This window comes from Homo sapiens, chromosome 7, assembly GCF_000001405.40.
Source record: "Homo sapiens chromosome 7, GRCh38.p14 Primary Assembly".
NCBI classification, from domain to species: Eukaryota; Metazoa; Chordata; class Mammalia; order Primates; family Hominidae; genus Homo; species Homo sapiens.
Genome location: NC_000007.14, coordinates 50,189,661 through 50,211,459, shown reverse-complemented (window position 1 = coordinate 50,211,459; position 21,799 = coordinate 50,189,661). Strand labels below are relative to the sequence as shown.

The following is a 21,799-nucleotide window of genomic DNA, read 5'->3' as shown; positions in this document are numbered from 1 at the left end:
ACCTGGCCTGCAGACAGCTTCTCTGGCCACTTGTGGATCCCTTGGCATTTGTCCCTTCTATCTCAGAAGCTGCCACATGCATCAAAACTGTTCTTATGATTGTGTACAGATCTCACCTCTCCATACCAGACATGCTTTGATGTGTTGAAAAAGTCTTCAGAACCAAGCACAAGATTTTGTAGTTGTGACTAAGGAAGGAGATAAACAAACCCAACAATATTATTACAAATAAAATTCTACCATTTTGCCTTTGTTGAGTAACTTCAGCTTATTTGATACCAGCTTATGAAGGACAGTCAGGTATTTATTCTGGCATTTTAAAGAGGGCTAAAGTGAATTGTCCACACCTAGAGAGTGGCAGAGAAAGTGTTAGAAGTTCTGTCTCTAGCTCATATGCTTCTCTCACCCTGGTGAGCAGAGACCACACATCCCGTCTTGGCCACGCTGTCTTCCAGTGTTCAAGAAGAGAGAGGTTGAAGGTGATCTTGGGTAAGAGATTTCTGGATACAGCAGGCTGTTGCACAAAGCTGCTTGGTCAAGCCTTCGAGTGTCCTCTCTGGCTCATGCTGGGGACACAGTTATTGCAAAGGTGATGCCCGCACAGATAAGGAGAGATTTGCGTAGTTCCTCAGCCGGTTTGCACACATTCCCATTTGACTCAACTCTCAGGTCATGAAACCACTCACTCATGGGAGAATTCAATGAAAGGCAACCATCCTCCCACCTCCTTCAAATTCTGTCTAATTCTGACAAGTCACTGAGTGGTCAAGCACAACTCCTAGTGGGCAGAGAATGTTTCACTTTGATCAGCAGAATGGACCATTGTTAGGAATACATGCTCTGGAGACACAGAGGCCCAACTGCCAGGTCCATCATGTTCTGTGTGACTTGGGCAGATAATTCACTTCTCTGAGTGTTAGTTTCTATTTCTGGAAAATTGTGATCCTGATAGCATTTATTTCAAAAGACTACTGTGAAAATGAATTAGGGTCACTTATGGGAACTGTGACAGCCCTTTAAGTGTGAGCTGTGGATGCTGTCTCTGGCACAGCCCTTGTAATGCAGGGTGGTGTATGGAGACACATCCTATGAGACAAGGTCTCCAGACCAATCGTTTCCATCCTCTAGGGAATCATTTTATTTGTACTTCAATACAAAGTGTGACTCTGGTAATTATTTTTGCAGAGAGTCATTAATAAGAGAATGGCATGAATGAGCCCTGGCAGCGACTCACATCACTTTCCAGGTCTTCTATCTCCATCAGAAAGGATGGGGTTGGGCTGTGTGTGTCCTCAGTCCCTCCTGCCTCCCGTCTTTCAAAAGGCTCAGCCTACAGTCAGTGTGTGTAGAAGACAAAGTGGAAAGGTGTGAGCTCTGCTTAGAGAAGCACAGAAGGAAAATGTCTAACCAACAGACTCAGTAGGGAGAGGGAGCCAGGAGTCAATGGAAGTGACTGCCAGGCACCGAGGGGTCCACAGGCAGGATGTGTGGAGCTGTGAACCCCTGCCACCATGCTGGAGCACATGGTGTGTGGTAGTGACCCTGGGCAAAGAGCACATGAAAGTGACAACTAAGTCTTACACACTTACAAGATGTATGCACTTCTTCTGTGTGAGTCATAAGGCCACCTTGCCTACATGACCTGCCAATTCAATGAAAAATATGCTAAATTATAGCAGTCAACCCTGTGTAATAAATATTTTGTTCTCTGAGGAAAAACCCCAAAGGTCTTTCTAGCAGGCAGGCATTTACGATTATGAACACTCCCCTCTGGGTCTCCCACGCAGGTTCTGGGATTCCACACTGACTGTTGACTATATCAGACTGGAAACAACCCCAGCTCTAGACCCACATCTACCACGTGTATGCCCTGTGTTCTTAGACAAGATTCCTCATCTGTATAATACCTGCCTCTTATTCTATTATTTATTATGTTATAATGATCAAATTAGGGATAATATATACCTATAAATTACTTTTTTTCAAACGAGGTGTCATGACCAAAATAAAGACCTGGCGTTACGTATTTGAAGCCACCTTACGTTTTTGTCTTGAAGCCTTTCTAAGATTCTGTTAAAATGTTTGAAAATATTTTGTTCCTGAAAAATAGATACCAATACTTTTAGAGGACACTTTCTTGAGAGAAATGTGGAATAAGTCAGGTCATGAAAGTTCCTTATTGCAGAGGGCATCTCAGTGATGGCTGCACAGCTGTGGCTGAAGCCTGGAATCTCTGAACAGAATACAGAAATGCTTTCTTTCATGCTGTGTTTTTCTCCTTGAAGAGAGAAAAGAAAACTATTTCGATCAAAAAAGATGGTCTACCTGTTTCGGCTGTGGACTTGTTCTATCCACTGTTGTTGGACAGGACTCAGGACACAGGGGTGCCCTTCTCAGTTAATAAAGATGGCGATGGCCTGACTTTAATTAGTGCTAAGTGCACAAAGAAAGAAAAGCTTGCTGGGTACGGCGACTCATACCTGTAATCCCAGCACTTTGGGAGGCAGAAGCGGGTGGATCACCTGAGGTCATGAGTTTGAGACCAGCCTGACCAACATGGTGAAACCCTGCCTCTACGAAAGAAAGAAAGAAAAAGAGAGAGAGAGAGAGAGAGAGAGAGAGAAAGAAAGAAAGAAAGACAGGAAGAAAGAAAGAAAGAAAAGAAAGGAAGGAAGGAAGGAGAGAAAGAAAGAAAGAGAATGAAAGAAAAGAAAGGAAGAGAAAGAAAGAAGGAAAGAAAGAAAAAGAAAGAAAGAAAGAAAAAGAAAGAAAGAAAAAGAAAGGAAGGAAGGAAGGAAGGGCACAATAGGGACAAGGTGAAGAATGGCAGACGACAACATGGAAAAGCAAAGGGCTTCTTGTATCAGATGACTCAGACCAAGAGCCCCAGTGCCACGGAAAGGACAGCCTGTGGTGGGAGGGAGGGCAAATTAGGACAGCCTGGGCTGTGGGGGCTGACTGCATGAACCAAGAAGGAGGAGGCACCTTTTTTTTTTTTTTTTTTTTGGAGACAGGGTCTCGGTTAGTTGAGAGGTACTATTCTGTACCAAAGTGTGTGTGTGCCCTCAGCTGAAGTCCATCTTTTGCCAGAAAAGTCTTGATGATGTTGTCCCTCCAGCCTCCTGTGCAGTGCTGGGATTTCACACATTGGGCCTTCCCGTGGTGTTTCACCCCAGAACCCATTTTTTATCCTCCCTCCCTGACCCCAGCATGCCTAACCCAGCAGTTAGTTCTGAGGGACAATACTTTAAACCCTCATGGCCTCCCTCACCCACCTTCTGGTGGCCAGCCTCTTGTCCTGGACTGACTGTGGCCCTCCACCCCGGTCCCTGCTCCCCCTTCGTGCCCTGCATCTCTCTTCCACAGAGCGCGTCAGCTTCACAGCATCCCCCAGCGCGACAGGTCCCACTCACAAACCTCCCGGCCTACCCTAATTCTGGGAGTCAGAACCGACGTCCTTCCCAACTGAGTTTCCCACACCCCACCCAAGGCCGCCTCTCCATCTCCTCCCTGCCCTTCCCTCGGCCTGGAAGGGCCACTCCTTTCCCCCACGTCTTGCTCAAATGTCACTTCCTCAAAGAGGCCTTCCCTGGCCACACCCGCTGGCCCATGCCACTCAGCTGGAGTAAGTCTCTTGCCAGCACCAGTGGGAAAGAAAATATCCACATTCAGATTTTGTCTTTGCTGCTATTTCTGGTCAACTTTCTCTCATTGGAAGCAACGTTCCCTGAGGGGAGTTGGTTGGAGCCTCCCCAGTTTCAGCCCCAGTGCTGCAGCGATGCCAGCCGTGGAGTGGCCACAGGGTCAGCCCAGAATGAATGAGTTTGAGGTGAACAACCTCATACCCGCTTTTCCTAACCCCTCCTTTTTAAGCTCCTTGATGGAAAACTTTGCTCGTTACATCTCCTTGCTTCCATCTCTGCCTGCTCCAGCGCCTTCCTCTTCCCCTGCCACCCTCCCAGGAGCATGAGCTCCCCATACACTGTGCACCCCAGGGTGTTTCTGCCCAGGGGCAGGCTAACGTGCAGTGGGGGCTGCGGCCTAACGTGGACTAGAAGGCCTTGGGTCCTGGTGCCAGAGAGCTCACCTCTCCCTCCTTCCTCGGCATCGCGGCCTTCCCCATGGAGGTCCCATCATCTGCCGCTGCTGCTTTGTCTTAGAAAACTCAGGGACACTCACTCACTGCCCCTGCTTCATGCCCCTCGTGCGTCCACACCACACAGTGGCTTATAGGGTACCCACTCCACGAGGGAGCTTAGGCAGATCCTGATGGGACAGAGAAACAAAAGCAGGAGCCCATTTCCAGCAGCGTTGCGTTCCGGGGGGTTCCTCTCCTAATCCAGGGGACAGAGGAGCTCACCGGTGATACTGCTGTGAGGGGAGAGGTGCGGCGATAGAGGGTGCTGTGGGACTCCCCAAGGACCCCATCGGCCTGGTGGGGGCTGGGGGTGGGTAGCCTAAGGTCAATTCCATCCCAGATTTATCTGGCCCAGCTCATCAGTCCCAGGAGGGATGCCTGGTGCTTCCTTCTCTCGATCCCCCATTCTCCCCGAGCCCAGTCAACGCCTGTGCAATGTGATGAGTCGCTCCGTGTTTAGGGAAGCGACTCATCACGGGTCCAGCACCCTTCACAAGCTGCCCCGTGTTCCTTTTTAGCTTCACCCCCACCCCCCACTTTGCACACACTCTACACACTGCAACCTCAGCCGACTTCCGTGGCCAGCTATGCAGGGTCTTGTTGGCCAGGCTGCTCCTCTGCCTGGAATAACCTCATCTTCCTCCCTGGCAGGCAAGTGTGAGTCACACAGGGCTTCAAAACATACTAAAATGTCACCTTCTCTTTGAACTTACCTGCCCCTCTTCCTGGCTTGCCCTCCCCCATCCACAGCCGATGCTGTCTCCTTTTGAACTCCCGTCAACTGGGTAAGACTTTGGTGCTGGCACTGCCTAGGTACATCGTAATAAACAAGTGCTTATTCACAATAGCAAAACAAACCTGGAGCCCATCAACAGTGGACTAGGTAAGGAAAACATGATACCTATACACCGTGGAATACTACACAGCTGTAAAAATGATATCATGTCCTTTGCAGCAACATGGATACAGCAGGAGGCCATTATCCTAAGTGAATTAACACAGGAGCAGAAAACCAAATACCGCATGTTTTCACTTGTAAGAGGGAGCTAAACATTGGGCACACATGAACATAAAGATGGCAGTAACAGACATGGGGGACTACTAGAGAGGGAGGGAGGGAGGGAGGGGGAAAGACTGAAAAACTACCTATTGGGCACAATGCTCACTACCCAGCTGATGGGATCAATTGTACCCCAAACCTCAGCATCAAGCAATATATGCACGCAACAAACCTGCACGGGTACCCCCTGAATCTAAAATAAAAGTTGAAGTGAAAGACAGAAAGAAAGAAAAAGAAAGAAAGAAAGAAAGAAAGAAAGAAAGAAAGAAAGAAAGAAAGAAAGAAAGAAAAGAAAGAAAGAAAGGAAGAATGAGAAAGAAGGAAGGAAGGGAGAGAGAGAAAGAAAGAAAGAAAGAAAGAAAGAAAGAAAGACAGACAGACAGACAAACAAGTGCTCCGCGAGCTCCAGGAGGGCAGGAGCTGATTTCATTCCCTGCAAATCCTTGTGCCTGGCTGGGTGCCAGCACACAGTGGGTGCTCAAAACATGTGGGCTGATGGAAGAAGAGAATTTGCTTCCATCACTACAACTGTGAAGTCCTTTAAGATAGCAATGTGATAGACTTGACCCCTGTAGAAAGCAGAGCCACGCTGAATAGAATCAGCTGATTTTTTTTTTTTTAACATCTGGCGAATGATTTCATGGGATCTGGCCTCAGTTTCCTCCCTGAGAGCGTGATGCGGGATTCTGTCTGTGGGCTCCGCATTGGTTGATTCAAGGACCTGGTCAGTACTGCCATCTGGTGGCCGTTTACCCCATTTGCAGATTGGGCTCTTAAAAGCTCCAGCACAGTAATTCTGCAATCATTATTATTTATTTATTTTGGTAAAATTCCCATTTTTTTCCCAACTCACAGGGGAAGAAAAAATACTTTTAGTGTGAGAGGGAGAGGATTTCCTCACCATTATTTCCCTCCTAAAATCCCACCCCCACCCAGACCTGCACAGTCCACAAGGAGAGCCCATGACGAATAGCCTGGCCTTGGTGGAAACCCACGGCACTCTCTGGCTGTCTGCACTTATGCATCTCCGAGGAGAGCAGAGATCGCCTTATCAGACCTCCCGCAGCGAGGTAAGCTTCAACTCCAAGGTCAGGAGCAGCTCAGGCTAGGAGTGGGCCAGCGACCCATTCTGTGCTCTGCTGCAGGCCCCTAAATGCAGCATTTGATTTCTCTTAGGACAAAATGAAGGCTTGTTAAATATATATATATATTTAAAAGGCAAGCACAGCCAACCAGTGCCACTCTCATTGCTTTATCTCTCCTTGTAACCCTACAACAGTCAATGGAAAGACAAAATGTGGGCTGCTAATTCCTCCTTCCTGGGACTTCAGGTCGGCATCTCCTCATTACAGCCATCATTCTAGAAATTAATGACTATGCTCTTTGTTCTTTGATACTTGCAGCGATGATCTAGGCCCTTAAATGCAGGGCTTAAGTTCCCCTCAAAAACCAGGGCTATGTCGGCAGGCTAGTCAGACTGTCTGGAAGAGCAGCCAACAGGAAGTCGTAGATTGTCTGTGCTTCTTCTGAGTTTGGATGCGTCTTTACCAGAAAACTATACTGTCTTCCACAGCAGCTTTCAACTCATGATCCTCCCTCTTGTCCCTCTTAGCAAACCACTACCAAGTGGCATTTTAAGATGTCAAAAAATCCCAGCATAGAATTGCTTCATTGTGAGTGCTGGTGCTGGCACACAGTGGGTGCTCAAAACTTGTGGGCCCAATGGAAGAGCATTTGCTTTTATCACTCTACAACTGTGAACGTCTTTATGTTTTCTCTGTACCTGAATTATAACAAGGCAAGGATTGGGGCTGATTCTGGGATTTTGGGACAGTTAAGGCAGCCAATGGAATCTGTTAGCACGAGTATTTCCTAGTCTTCCTGTGAGAAACAGAAGGAGGGACCCTTGAAATGAGGTCCCTGGGGCTCTTGGTTGAGGACCTGAAAGAAATGAGAGAAAGATGGATCTGAGCCTTTTAGGAAGACGTCTTCATTTGAGGTAAGGTTTTGTCTTAGGGCCCTACATTCCCAGCAACAGGCTCAGGGGATACCTCTGCAGACCACACAGGGAGATTTGCTCATTCATCCATCCATTCACTTATGCAAACGATGATCATAAACAGCTTGCTGCAGGGACTATGCTGGGTACTGGAAATAGGGCGCTGAGAGAAAATGACCATGGTGCTTGTTTGCAGAAAGCATAGAGCCTCGTGGAGGGAGATGGAGATTAACCAAAGTATCACATAAATGACTGTATGGTTACAACTGAGAATATTATGAAGGCGAGGAACCTATCATACAAGACCATAGAACAGAGGAGCTTTACTCGGCCCAGGAGCCAGCCAGGCTTCACTGCGGAAGGTAATCTTTTATGGAGAACTGATGGGTAAATGGAAATTTACTGGGTAGACAGAGGGGAGAAGAGAGCCTCCCCACCTTCCAGAAGGAACAGAGCTACAAAGGGAGAGAGAAAGAGATCTGAAAGAGGCAGTGTGCGGGATGGAGCCTGGGGGAGAAGGCACAGTTAGCACTGGGGTGGTCTCTGGCCTGGGCAAGCCTCTTGGACAGCAGCCTACAATGCATGGCCAGCCATGCTGAGCTCAGAGAGAGAATCGTACGAGAAAAGTGCAGGCTCCTCACTGACACACAGGATCTCTGTACTAGAGCAGTGCCTGGGGTAAAAGATTAATAGTTGCTTAATAAATTGTTATTGAATGAGTAAATGGAAAAATGCTTGGCCTCAGCCTTGGGAGGTGACTTCTAGCAGGGGGAAGCTCCTACCTCCCTTAGTTTTTCTTCCCCTCATTATCCTCAAGGAAGAGGAGTGCTTTTGTATTGGTCTAGTCCAGGGATATTGATTGGGCCATGTAGTTCTGGTGAGCATTAGACAGAGAGATACAAAATAAACAGGCATTAGGGTGAACACTGTTCTGTGCTTTTGCTCTGGTTCCTGTGTTTTGTATTTGCTTCTCCTTGCTGAACATTTTTCCTGCTACCATCAAAGGAGTAAGGATAATAACAGGGCTAGGCTGAGGAAAACAAAGAAGTAAAGTAGTTTTACTCCTGCTCCCTTCAGTTCAGGCAAGTGGTGTCACTGAAGTGATTCTACGTGGCTTTGAGGCCAACAGTGACACCCAGGGATTTTCTCTTGAGGCTTAGCTTCCCATGGGAAGCTTGCAGGGGTAGGTTGCTGACCCAGGGTCAGATTCAAAATTTAGGAATGCTAAGTGTCAGTCAGTAATCTCTATCTCTTCTATTTTTACTCTTGAAGATGGTGTATGACAGTAGATAGTGTCAGAGGTGAGCATACAAGAGCAGAAGAATGCAATGTGGCTTTGGGGCTCTCCCATCAAGAAGTGGGGTCCATTTCCTGATCCCTGGAGTCTGGACTCAGGAGCAGCCTGTGACTTGCACTGACATCAATGGATAATGAAATGGATGGAGACAGAGTTGTGCAAATTCCAGAAGCTACGCCTTGAGGGCTCTTGCAGATTTTGCTTTTGACCTCTTGAAACTGCCCTGAGACCACTAGGAAGGAATACCTATCTGGTTTTCTGGAGGAAGAGAGTCACATGGAGAAGAACTGAGGCAGCCACCAACTGCCAGACATGTGACCACCAGCTCTGCTGACCCCACAGCTCAAAGAAGCTGCACAGATGAGCTGAGGCCACACTCTTCAGGGAACAATCCGCACAGTCCTGAGAGACAGCAACTCCTTGCTCTTCTGAGCCACTAGGCTTTGGAACAGTTCATTGCCTCTTTTACATGACATACTCTAATTGCATCATCTTGTTCAATGCTCACAACAACCCTGCAAGGTTCTTATTAATTTTCCATTTTACAGATAAGAAAACTGAGCCTCACAGAGTAGATGCAAAACCGTTAAGTGGCAGGACTGGAATTTGCACTCACATCTATGTGGCCCTAAAGGCCACCCTCTCCCCATTTCACTGGCCCATCAAAAACCACAGAGACCAGATAACAAGAGCTTGTCATAGTGCTGACAGCAGAGCTGAGGTCCCAAACTGCAGCATGCTCTGCATTCTTCTGGTCACAGGGCAAAGGCCATCAAAAGGGATCAAGAGAAGACACAGGAGCTTCCAGGATGTCAGAGAAAAAGGATGGGCTTGAACTTCTATTGACTTCATTGAGTCAACACAGGAGTCAAAAACTGTTGTGACTGGGGACTCACACCCTGTCTATTCTTGTTGATCTTTGGACAAACCATTGCAGCAGACAGAAACATTCAAATAAAGCTTAGAAAAGTGAAAAAAGAAAGGGGGGAAGAATACCATAGTAAAAGAAAATAGAAGAGGGAAATGGTGAGGCAAACTTATCACTGGCATCATGATCTATCAGATTATGTGCTCAAAATAAGGTTATGGATTTATTCTTAGTGGAGGGACTGGGGCTCATGGCCTGAGTATCATTCACAAAGAAGCCAGAAAACTCCATGTGTCCACGTGTCCAGGGGCAGGAATGCCCACGCAGGCACTGTATCGCTGCAGCTGAATACCTGCCAGAGAAGCTTTGCTACCCTAAAGCCAAGGCCAGGCCTTCTAAGAATGCGCCACACCAATGAGGTGACATGTCCTGTGATGGCCTAGTATGGTTATGTGCTTTGCCTAGAATCCACGATTGCATTATGATGGAATTTCTGGTATAGAAAAATTGTAATGTTCCAACACTGTTTTTGAAAATAAAGTGCTTCTTCATTAAAAAAAGTTTAATTGTAGTAAACTACACATAGCATAAAACGTACCATTTCAGACAATTTTTAAGCATATAGTTCTGTGGCATTGAGTACATTGACACTGTCATGCAACCATCACCACCAGCCATTTCCAGAACATTTTTATCTTCCTAAATGGAAACTCTGTATTTATTAAACATTTAATCCTCATTCCCACCTCCCGCTATCTCCCGGTAACCACCATTCTACTTTCTCTATGATTTCCAGAACTTTTTCATCTTCCTAAACAGAAACTTTGAATTCATTAAACATTTAGTCCTCATTTCCATCTCCCCCTATCTCCTGGTAACCACCATTCTACTTTCTCTATAAATTAGACTACTCTAGAGACCTTATATAAGAGCAATCAAACAGCACTTATTCATTAATGACTGGCTTATTTCAGTTGGTATAATGTCCTTAGGGTACATTCATGTCATAGCATGTGTCAGAAATTCCTTCTTGTTTAAGGTTGAGTAATATTCCGTATTGTGCATTTACCACAGTTTGTTTATCCATTCATTTATAGATGGAAACATCCACCTTTTGGTGGATGTTATTGTGAATAATGCTGCTATAAACATGGACATACAAATATCTCTTTCAGATCCATTCTTCTGGGCAGATACCGAGAAGCAGACTTGCTGGGTCATATGGTAATTCTATGTTTAATTTTTTTGAGGAACAGCTATACAGTTTTCCATAGCAGCTGTACAATTTTATATTCCCAACCAGGATGATGATTTCTCCACATCCTTGCCAATGCTTTTTTTTTGTGTGTTTTTTCTTTTAACTTTTTTGAATGAGTAGCCATCCTAATGGGTATGGAGCTTCTTCATTTTATAGAATAGGAAACCAAGACATAGCAAATGTTAAAAGTTTCCCCACGGTCACACAGCTAATAAATGGCAGAGCTGAGAATTGTACCAAGGTGATCTAAATCCAAGGAGCAGAATTTTAAAGTTTTTATTTCCAGGTTAATGGTGGACAACCTCAAGCTAAGGGATTTCTGCTAATTGTATGGAATTGCTCATCACTGGGAGGCTTGTTCAGCATACACTGGGGTGAGGAGGAAGACATAAAATACCTCCATCAGTGAGAAGCATTTGGTTCACTCAAAAACAAGTTGAAGACCTGGAACAGATAAAATCAGAATAACTCCTGACCTTTGGTACAAATGCCAAGGGACTCAAATGTGGATAATTTTGGAAGCCAACTGAAGAGTTGAATTATTACTTGTCTCAATGCTTCCTGCTTTCGGTTGGTTCTGGAAATGGAAGTGCCAAGCCCTGCCAGGAAGTCTTCTCTCGTGGTTTTACTGGTCAGGGCTAATTTAGGAAGTGCTGGAAATCTCGTAGAAACCCCTTGGGAAATTTTTACCTTGTTTTCCTACATAAAAAGTTCCACTCAGTTATAAAATCTCAGAGATGACATCTGGCCTCCCCACTGGCTTATCTGAGCTAAACCATGTGTCTTTTCCCAGTGCAATTCAGTATCGGGCAACATAACCTGGGCCACTTGGGCCATTCCAGGAGAGGGGAGACGTTTTGCTAGGCATTCTGTGGGTTCATGCAGGTGCCTTCTTCTCAGTCCACTCACACATTGCCCTATGACATGGTTGGTAAGATTCTCGTCTCACTGTGCAAGACCTTAAGGCTCAGAGAAAATGGGCTAATTTATCCAACACTACCCAGCTAATAAACAGGAAAGTCAGCACACAAATCCAAACACATGTCATTCCCTAAATTACGCTTTTCTCTTTACCCCTCTCTGTTCAGAAGTATCAGAATAATTCCTTTATTTAAGGAGATTTGAGTTCTTACTGTAACATGTTCAATATTAAATTTCTCCATTAAACAGAAAGCATACATGTGTCATGAAGTCCACACTCAGGCCCCCATCCATGCCCAGTGGCTTCTGAGAGTCCCTCCTTTCCTTACTCAATGCCATCTGCAGCCCACCTGCTCCTTGCTGCTCCAGGACAGGCCTGCGCTTCCTGCACTCCCTACCTGTCCTCATGCTGTTCCCTCTGACTGCAGTGCTCCTGCTCATGCCATTGTCTTCACTTGGCCAGGTCCTACTGATCATTCATGATTCCTGCCCTATCCAAAGGACCCCCAGAGAAGCCATTCTCCTTCCCTCTTTTCAGTTCTCACAGCATGTGCCCTGGACCTTTCTCTTGTGCATCACTGTTTCCCTGCCAACTATATGCATGTCTTATTTCACCCCCAAGAAGTCATGGATGTGAAATGTGTGGCAAGCTGAGGACACACCTGGGAGTTTGCGAGAGGATGATGTGAAAGATGGGCCAAACAGTGACAGGGGTGGATGCAAAACAATGGCAAGTTCTATTCAAATCAAAGGAGAAAGGAAAATGTGAACTTGCATTAGAAAATGAGTAAGATTTAGAAACTAATATTTGTGGTCGGACGCGGTTGCTCACACCTGTAATCCCAGCACTTTGGGAGGCCGAGGCTAGTGGATCACCTGAGGTCAGGAGTTGGAGACCAGCCTGACCGATGTGGTGAAACCCTGTCTCTATTAAAGATACAAAAATTAGCCAGGCGTGGTGGTGCGTGCCTGTAATCCCAGCTACCTGGGAGGCTGAGGCAGGAGAATCGCTGGAACCTGGGAGGTGGAGGCTGCAGTGAGCTGAGATCACACCACTGCACTCCAGCTTGGGCAACAGAGCAAGACTCTGTCTCAAAAAAAAAAAAAGGAAAAGTAACTAATATTTGGATGGCGGAGGTTCAGGACTGGGGAAACAGGGTAGGCAAACATCAGGGAACAGAGAAGAGGTGGGCAGTCCAGACGTGAGGAGCAGGCCCACCTGGTTAAAGTGCAGGTTCCTGTTAGGACTGACCCAAATGTAATGCTGCACTTGTATAGGGTGCCAGATGAAAGATCCTTGCCATCTGCAAGAAGTGAAATTTTAAATTTCTTTATAAAACAAAGAACAAAAAATGAAGTGTATATCATTATGTATGGCAGTTGAAAATCAACCATTATTAATTCATTTATTAAATAAATATTTGAGGGTGTTTACCCCATTTAATGAATAAGTTAGCCTGTCTTCTTGCCCTCATAGAGCAGATAGTTGAATAACAAGAATCAGAAGCAAGTCCTTGCATTGTCTTTTCACCTAACATTCATTTTGAAAGGATGCCTGGTAATTAACATAATCTAGAAAATGGAATAATCTTTTTATCCTGGAAAACTACATCCTACAGGCTTAGTTTTACTGGTGGCAAAATTTTATTCACATTTGCTCAAGAGTACACCTTAAAGGTGGAATATGAAAAGATAAAATTCTAGTTCATTTTCCCTTCCTTAAAATCAATGTTAATAAGTAAGAGCTGAGTGTCTCATGAAAGATTAATCTGATTCTATTCCCTTGAAAAATTAAAAGGTGAAAAATCTTTTACTCATGTGCTATTCTTTTTCATAAAGATACAAGAAAAAACTTGGCATCTTGTTTTCTTAATCTATGATTCAAATACGCTCTCAGCAGTTTGGAAATTACATGTAAGGTTTGCAAACTCAATTTACATATCCAGCAGTAGTTTGAGTTAAAAAAAAATAAATTAGAATCAAAACATCACCTTTCTCTGGAAAACTAAGTACCAAGGCTGGTGGCAACCCCTTGCATGAGTCATGATGATCACTTTGAAGGTCATTTTCATACTCCTACCCCACAGAGCACCGGGCGTCAGGTGCCTGCAGCGGGCAGGCCGCTGAGTCAGAGTGCGGCCCTCAGCCTGTCACCCACCTGTTCCCTGGCCTGGCGGCATGACTCATCCCTGAGGCCCAGCCCCCGTGAGCCTCCTGATCCTCCTCCGCAGGATGTGATCTTCCTATCTCCCAGTTCCCAGGCTGGGAGGGCAACCCCCGGGCCTCTTCATCTCACTGGGCAAGGAACAAATGAGCTATTTTTTAGTGGGAATCAGTTTCTGGAGGTCTAAATCAGTCTTGGGAGTAGATTCTTACTCCTCTGTTCTTGGAGACAAAACAATGTGATGAGTTTTAGTCATGTCATTGCTTCAGACTAAGAAAATCTGCAGTTGGCAATGGTGAGAGAACTCTCTCCTCCTTGCAGCAGCAAGCCTTCCTGTCCAGGTAACGGTGATAGCCTTAAGAGGCCATCTGTTCCCCTCTCCTGTGGCTCTGAATGGTGGGTAAGGTGGGACTGGGCCATGGGTCCTGAGGAGAAAGAGGTGGCTCTGGCAATATGGCAGCTGCATCGGGGGCTAGGACGAGGTGACCCTGGAGGTGGTAATGTCAAGCCTGGTCGGGAGCAGGGGTAGCTGAGGCGTGCTTTTAGTTTTCCTCTCTATATTGCCATCCTCTTATGTAAGCCAGCCTGAGGAGAGTCTGTTAGAAGTGACAGGTGTGAGCATAGCTGGGCTTTCAGGGCTAAAGGGATGAGTTTTGATGGTGATCTCATTGAAAGCAGACTGAAGACTTCTAGAAACCTGGAGGGGTGAGGAGAGTGATGGCTCCTGTCAGGGTGGATCTGAGAGAAGCGAAGCTCTTCTGGGAGCAGCTGCTGGCAGGATGGGGCCCACTTAGTGCTTGCTCAGAGGCTGGGCTGCTGGAGACCAGTCATGTTTACATTCTCCTCATCGTGGTGAATTTCCAGAGAAAATCTATTACAGACCAAGTGTCATGACATCCTAAGCCCAAGGTTTATTCTTCTGTAATGCTAGTGAAGAACCTAGCTTAGGATCACATACTGTGAGAATCAGTGCGGACTGGAAAAGCCAGGACTCCCTGAGCAAATGGGCAGCCAGTTTAGACTGTCCCTGAAAACCAGGGACAGTCAGGGGTGGGAATTTTCCCCATATTTGAGTATTAACAATATGGTCTCAGCAAACTGACATCTCCACCTAAACGAATTGCTCAGGTCTTCTTCAGAGAGAATCGTGTGTCCACATCCTTCTTCAAAGTGATGGTTAATTTTGTGTGTCAACTTGGCTACACTACAGCGGCCAGGTTCTACTCAAATAACAGTCTAGATATTGCCTTGAAGTTATTTTTTGGATGAGATTAACATTTACCTCTGTAGATTTTGAGGAAATCAGATTGTCCTCTGTAATGTAGGTGGACCTCATTCTCTCGTTGAAGGTCTTAACAGAAGAGACAGCCCCTGGGAAAGAGGGATCCCTGCCTCCAGACTGCCTTTGGACTTGAGCTATTAACATCAGCTCTTCCCTGAGTCTCCAGCCTGCTGGCCTGCCCTGAAGATTTCAAAACAGCTGGCTCCCACTTTCTCATGAGCCAATTCCTTAAAGTAAATCACTCTGTATACAGACAGCCTATTGGTTCTGTTCTCTGGAGAACCCTGACCAGTGTACCCTGTTGGGTCATGAATGTAAGCATACAAACATGTTTCAGGATCTCACATCTTAAAAGACAAAATAAATCCGTCCCTTGCTCCCACCTCTCCACCCACTCTTGGCCCATTTTTCTCCTGAGGTCACAGCAAATCTCCATGCCGGCCTGGCTCCTGGCTGCCCAGCAGTGCCAGACATGTACTCTGTCTCAGCCCTGCCAGTGAGCCTCTTCCCTCAGGAGATGGCCCTCGTCAGGGCCGTGAGGATCCCAGGCCATGATGGCTGCCAAGGTCATGTTCCATTCTTCTTGTCTGATTCCAACCACTTATCGGCATTTGGCACCATTTTCTTTTGGAAACTGCTTTTTCTCCAGGCTTCTGTGGACTCTTACCTGGTGGATTTCCTTCTGCCTGTTTCCTTCCTAGTTTCTTACTTATGGTGCTGAAATGCCGCAGCCCCCGCTGGGCTCTGCTCTGGCCCTCTCTCTCCTTTACCACTCTTCCCGGAACCTCCTCCAGGCCAGGCTTGTCCTGATGACCCCCATTCTGTCTCTCTCATCCTGGCCCCTCCCTGAAAATCCAGACCCACACCTCCACCTGCACACCTGGCATCCTACGCAGGCTTCTCATAGGCTTCTCCACCTCTTCAGGGGCAAAGCGGAGCTTGTGGCTCTCAACTCCAGTGAACTGATCTTGCAGTCTCAGTAAACAGATTCATGCAGTGGCTCAGGCCACCCACAGGCATTATTCTTCCCCTCCCCACATACTTCAATGTGTTGTAGTGTTATTGAAATATAATTTTATGCCATGAAGTTTTACTCACTTAAATTGTACAATTCAGTGTTTTAAAATATATTCACAGAGCTCTGTAATAATCACTATAATGTAAGTTTAGAATACTTTCATTCATTATTTGTAGAGACTAGTAATCATTCCCTATATCTTACCGCAAGCTGGTCTCCTCCCCAGGTAATCAATAAATTACCTTGTGTCTCTATGGAGCTACATGTTCTGCACATTTTATATAAGTAGAATCATATACTCTGTGGCTTGTGACTGGCTTCTCTCACTTGGCGTGATGTTTCTGAGGTTCACTCATGTGGTAGCATGTGTCAGTACTCCATTCCTTTCATTGTCAAATAATATTCCATTGCATGGACCCACTACATTTTGTTTATCCGTTCACCAGCTGATGGACATTTGGGTTGTTTCCATCTTTTTGCCATTATGAATACTACTGCTGTAAATATTCATGTACCAGGTTTTGCAGAACATAAGTTTTCATTTCTCTTGCCTCTATACCTCAAAGTGAAATTGCGGGGTCACATGGTAACTTTATGCTCAATCATTTAAGGGACTGATGGCAGACTTTTTCCCAGAGTGGCTGCACCACTAGCAGTGTATGAGGCTTCCACCTTCTGTACACGCTCGCCAACATTTGTCTGCCTTTTTGATCTGTGCTGTTGGGTGACTGATTTGGTGTGCAATGCCTCGCTGCTCCAATCCCTACTGCCAAAGCTTTGGAAATATTCATGCACAAGAAATGATCACCAACCCTGCCACGACTTTTTAATAGCTACTGCAGGCAAGTTCCTTTTCTGATACCCTGAGAAGGCTAAATAAAAGAGACAAATAAGATGCAGTCTTTGCTGTAAAGTGCCCCAAAATTTGTTTTTTTGAGTTAAATACCTTTTAAAACACTGATATTTAGGGCAGGATTATATGAAATCCGGTTAAAAAAAATCAATGTGCAAACTTTTCCTGGGATCTAGAATCTGAGTAGGCATTGGAAGGATGGAAAGGATTTTGATGGCTATAGGGAAAATAGGGAGGTCTTTCCTGGAGGATGCAGTAGCATGAAAAAATACTAACTCTCTAAAGGCAAACAAAGCAATTTGGCTCCAGGACTGAGGCTCAGGATACTCCAGTGGTATCCTAGTTTCTGAGATTGGGGGTTACCCTCTGAGAGGTATAGTCATTCCAATCGCCATATTGATATGGCAGCTTTGACAAAGGGAATATTTGGTCATTCATTCCCATTTTATGGCTCTCCCCCTAACCTCTTTCCCATCTCAGCATCTTACCTTATTGTCTGACCTCCACTCCAACACTGAGCCATATCCCAGTCCTGTCTAGTACCCCAACTTTCAACCTGATTTTATGGGTGACTTTCATTCAGTAAATGAAAATAATACTATTTAGGGTTCTCCCCACCCCCCAAGACTACATTAAAACATATTATGCCCATTGGCTATCACGTAATGTTCATATCAAAATTTCTTGCTTCAGGTCAAAATATAGAGAGAATTGAATGAATTGCTAGGTTAATTTGCCAATTGCCAATGGGAAAGTTACCATTCTGAGTGGTAGAGTAAGGGCTGGGACTGTACTTTAGGAAGACAGACCTGGCAGTGTGTGAAGGACGGTTAGAGAATCAGTGAGTGAAGAACAGGTAAGGAGCCACGGCTTCAACCCAGATTATAATTCCTGAGAATCTAACTAGAACAACATCCCGAATATCACAGGACAAGTATGAGTTGTGGAGCTAGAAGTGACTGGACGTGGAAGGGGCTGGGGAAGCCAATATGCTTCTTAGCAGAGTTTATTTTTCTCTGACATATATCGTAGTCTCTCACTGTTATATGTAGTTTTGCTTTCTTCAATTTAGTTACCTATGGTCAACTGCAGTCTGAAAATATTAAATAGACAACTCCAGAAATAAACAATTCATATGTTTTAAATTGTGTGACATTCTAAGTAGTGGAATGAAATCTCTTGCCATCCCACTCCATCCCACCCGGGACAAGAATCATCCCTGTGTCCAGTGTATCCGCACTGTCTCAGCTACCCACCATGAGTCACTTAGAAGTTGTCTCGGTGATCAGATCAACTGTCACATCATCACAGTGCCTGTGTCAGGTCACCCTTATTTTACCTAATGACAGCCTCAAAGCTCAAGAGTGGTGATGCTGGCATGTTGTTATAATTGTTCTATTTTAGTATCTGTTATTGTTACTAATCTCTTACTGTGCCTAATTTATAAATTGAACTTTATGATAGGTATTTTTGTTTGGGAAGAATAGTATAGATAGGGTTTGGTACAATCTGTGGTTTCAGGCATCCACTGGGGGTCTTCAGGTATCCTCAGCGGACAAGAAGGGGCTATTATAATGCAGTACTAGCATTTCAACAATATCTGTTTTTTTGTTGTTTGTTTTATTTATATTCACCACAGCTTTGTATGGCAGAGGCAGATAGTCACCTTGGAAAGGATCTTCTTTGTTAAATAAGGTGTCATTTAAGCAAAACATCTTACAATGCAGAAGGATAGAGTGAGACTTTTCATTTGCCTCTAAACACAGCCTCTTCCATTAGGGATGAGGAGCACTAGAGCAACTTAGGAAAGGAGCCCAAGCCATGTGGGTGGGAAGGCTGAGACCCTCACATCCCTCTAGCTGGGGTTTTAACTTAGCTTTGCTGTTTCAAAGGAGCTGATTCAGCAGGAGGTCAGGGACCCAGCTGCCACCTGGCACACAAAGGTCAGCTGCTTAGCTGGCTGCCCCATGATGAGAGCTGAAGGTGAGCCACTTTGGGAGTGGAGAGCGCACATGGTGTGTGAGCCAAGAGCACATCCTGATCATAGGGTCCAGGTACAAGCACCAACGTGGCACGTGTTGGTGCCTGGACCAGCCCAGAATTACTGCCAAGTGGGTTCTTTAGGCTGACAGAACCACCCAGCAGCAAGTGAGTGGAAGGTACGGTGGACCCACCAGGTATCCCATTCCCTTCTTCTCTGCTGCAGCCTGGAAACGAGACTGACCCCTTGGACCAGGTGAGCCTAAGCAGGTAAATGCAGGCCTTGCTAATAAGAGATGCTGGGGGCTCAATCAATTAACAAGGAAAAAAAGCATGCTTTCATCTGTACTCCAAGCTGATAAAACAGGTCACATACAGATATTTAAAAAACCGTTTTCTACTCCAGTATATAAAAATAGCTTTGCTTCTTCAAACACAGCTAATGGACCATTATCACTCACGAGCTACAGAAAGACTGACGGAAAGGCAGTATTCATAAGTTTTCTATATTTGTGAAGGAATTATCTGTGTATCCTGAAAATGTTAAGCAAGTGTTAAGTAACGTGCCTGCTCTACGCGGGCATCTCTTTCCCTGGATGGTGTGCCCTCCCGCATTGCATGTGATTGTCAAATTTCTGCTCTTTGAGTCTCCTTAGCTCTGTGGTCCTGCAGGAAGCTGTACAAATTCGGCATGGGTTCCAGGGTTCTTTGTCCTGTGCCCGCCCCATCCTTCTTGAAATGGCTGTGACCTTTTTGTCTATCGGCAAAGGGAAGGGTCAAGTCTGAAAATGGGTCCCAAGGTTGATGATCACAGTTTTTATTGTCTGAAATCTAAACAAAATACTATCGCCATTCACTCAGCTCGGCCGCTCACGTTGAAAAGACGTGCGAGAATCAATGAGACGAGAAGCCAGGATCGCCTCCTTCTCACATTACTGACTGCTTGGAAATAGTTTGTCAAATTGTATTTATGGTGAGACAAGTTCAAACAGCAGTTTTAGAGCTACCCGCCTGGAACTGTATTGGAAATGGAAAATGACGGGAGCAAGAGAATAATAAAGGGTCAATTAAGGCTCCGGGGAACATAGGAGAAAAGACAAAATCGGAAAGAATGCTAAAATGAATCTGATTTTTTTTTTTTTACTGTTTTAAAATATAAGGGAAAAGGAGTGCATCAAGAGAAAGTAGCTCCATCAGCACGTGGAGAAAGCAAACTCAGGATGCATAAAGTAACAAATTAATAACATTAATCATCATCATCATAGCTGCCATTTGTTGAGTGATGACAAGTTAGTTAATAATGTTAATCCCCATAATCTTAGGCACCATTTGCCAAGTGACTCCTCTGTGTTACTGATGGTGGAGCTGGTATTTGAGCCTATGATTTCCAACTCCTGAGCTCCACTCTTTCTACTTCACCACTGCCTCTAAATGCGGGGACAAGGATGGAGACTCTTTGGCCAAATGCTGGTCTCCCCTGATTCTGAGTTAGTGAATCATTTGAGATCTCCAGTGCACCCTGGCACTGTCAAGCTCATGGGAACCAAGAGTGCCACGGATAGGAAGTGCCAAATCATCTTTGGAGACAGCCAACTATTTCAGAGAGCCAGCCTGGATTCCTGGCAGCAAGCAGAGGCCAGGCTGGTGAGTGGGAAGTGATGCCAGGGATTAGGAAAAGGGAATGGAAAAGAACAAAACAGGGAGGGAGAAAAGTCACTGGGCTCTGTTGGGCTGGTGTCCTCCATGCAGCAGTGGAATGTACCTCAGACATGCCCACTGGCTCCAGTACCCTGCTGCTGCTCATTGGGCACCTCCTGAGGCTCTAACTCCCTTGCACTTCCAAGTTGGCTCAGTCAAGTGCTGTCTGCATTTAAAGAGGACTGAGGCAGAAAAAGAGTGACCATCCATGCCCAGAGGCAGGTGCTGTTAGTAAGGCATGTGGGAAGCTGGCTGCCAGCAGTGGCTGGAGCCAAAGGTGGTCGGAGCTGTGGGAGCCAGGATGCAGCAGGTGGTAGATGAGGAGGAGTCAGAGCCTATCCATTATCCATCAAGAGGGCTCACACACTGTTAGCGTAGAGAAGGGGAGACATGCCCACCACCCTCTGAGGGTTCAGCAACTGAGTCTTTAAAATAAACTGACAACAGGCAGATTAACAGGAGAAAAAGTAGACAAATTTATTATGTGCACAGGGGCATCACAGGAAAGAAAAGTGAATACTCCAAAATCCAGTGATATGGTATTTGGCTGTGTCCCCACCCAAATCTCATCTTGAATTGTAGCTCCCATAATTCCCAGGTGTTGTGGGAGGGGCCCAGTGGGATGTAATTGAATCTCCCACCGGGATAGTCAGGATAATTGAGGGCGGTTTCCCCCACACTGTTCTCATGGTAGTGAATAAGTCTCACGAGGTCTGTTGGTTTTATAAGGGGAAACCCCTTTCACTTAGTTTTAATTCTTCTCTCTTGTTGGCCACCATGTAAGACATGCCTTCCACCTTCTGCCATGATTGTGAGGCCTCCCCACTGTGTGGAACTGTGAGTCCATTAAACCTCTTTTTCTTTATAAATTACCCAGTCTTGGGTATGTCTTTGTCAGCAGTGTGAAAAGAGACTAATATACCCAGTGAGATTTAGAAGCTTATATATCTTCTTCATGGGGGGAAAGGAGAGGGTTGTAGGCAACATAGGTGAGAGTAATGATTTTTTGGAGAAAGGTGAACTGGCCCTTAAGAGAATAGATGATGGTTGGTGGCAAGGTCTGTCTGGGTGTGATGTCACTTTAGCTTCCTCCCCTGTGATGAGAGTCCATCTTCCCTGGATAATGAAACTCCCTGGGAGGGGATTGATGAAAACTGAGGTCCTTTGGGGACTCTATCTTTGGACTGATAAGGGGTGTTCACGCTGTTTTGCAAGTGCCTTCAGCTCAATAATCAATATACCAAAGCAGCAGACTTGGGAGTG

The 21,799-nt window shown here is 45.6% G+C and overlaps 5 annotated features.

Moving 5' to 3' along the window:
* Nucleotides 584–733: an enhancer, noted in NCBI's record as "active region_25993". NCBI's record gives its function as "activates an Ori minimal core promoter by ATAC-STARR-seq in GM12878 lymphoblastoid cells {active_cell/tissue: GM12878}" and the evidence as "EXISTENCE:reporter gene assay evidence [ECO:0000049][PMID:35858748]".
* Nucleotides 764–813: an enhancer, noted in NCBI's record as "active region_25992". NCBI's record gives its function as "activates an Ori minimal core promoter by ATAC-STARR-seq in GM12878 lymphoblastoid cells {active_cell/tissue: GM12878}" and the evidence as "EXISTENCE:reporter gene assay evidence [ECO:0000049][PMID:35858748]".
* Nucleotides 3,968–4,897: an enhancer, noted in NCBI's record as "H3K4me1 hESC enhancer chr7:50246159-50247088 (GRCh37/hg19 assembly coordinates)". NCBI's record gives its function as "activates a minimal SCP1, AML or CMV promoter by ChIP-STARR-seq in naive and primed H9 embryonic stem cells {active_cell/tissue: H9 hESC(naive and primed)}" and the evidence as "EXISTENCE:reporter gene assay evidence [ECO:0000049][PMID:30033119]".
* Nucleotides 4,612–4,661: a silencer, noted in NCBI's record as "silent region_18178". NCBI's record gives its function as "represses an Ori minimal core promoter by ATAC-STARR-seq in GM12878 lymphoblastoid cells {active_cell/tissue: GM12878}" and the evidence as "EXISTENCE:reporter gene assay evidence [ECO:0000049][PMID:35858748]".
* Nucleotides 5,678–5,857: an enhancer, noted in NCBI's record as "active region_25991". NCBI's record gives its function as "activates an Ori minimal core promoter by ATAC-STARR-seq in GM12878 lymphoblastoid cells {active_cell/tissue: GM12878}" and the evidence as "EXISTENCE:reporter gene assay evidence [ECO:0000049][PMID:35858748]".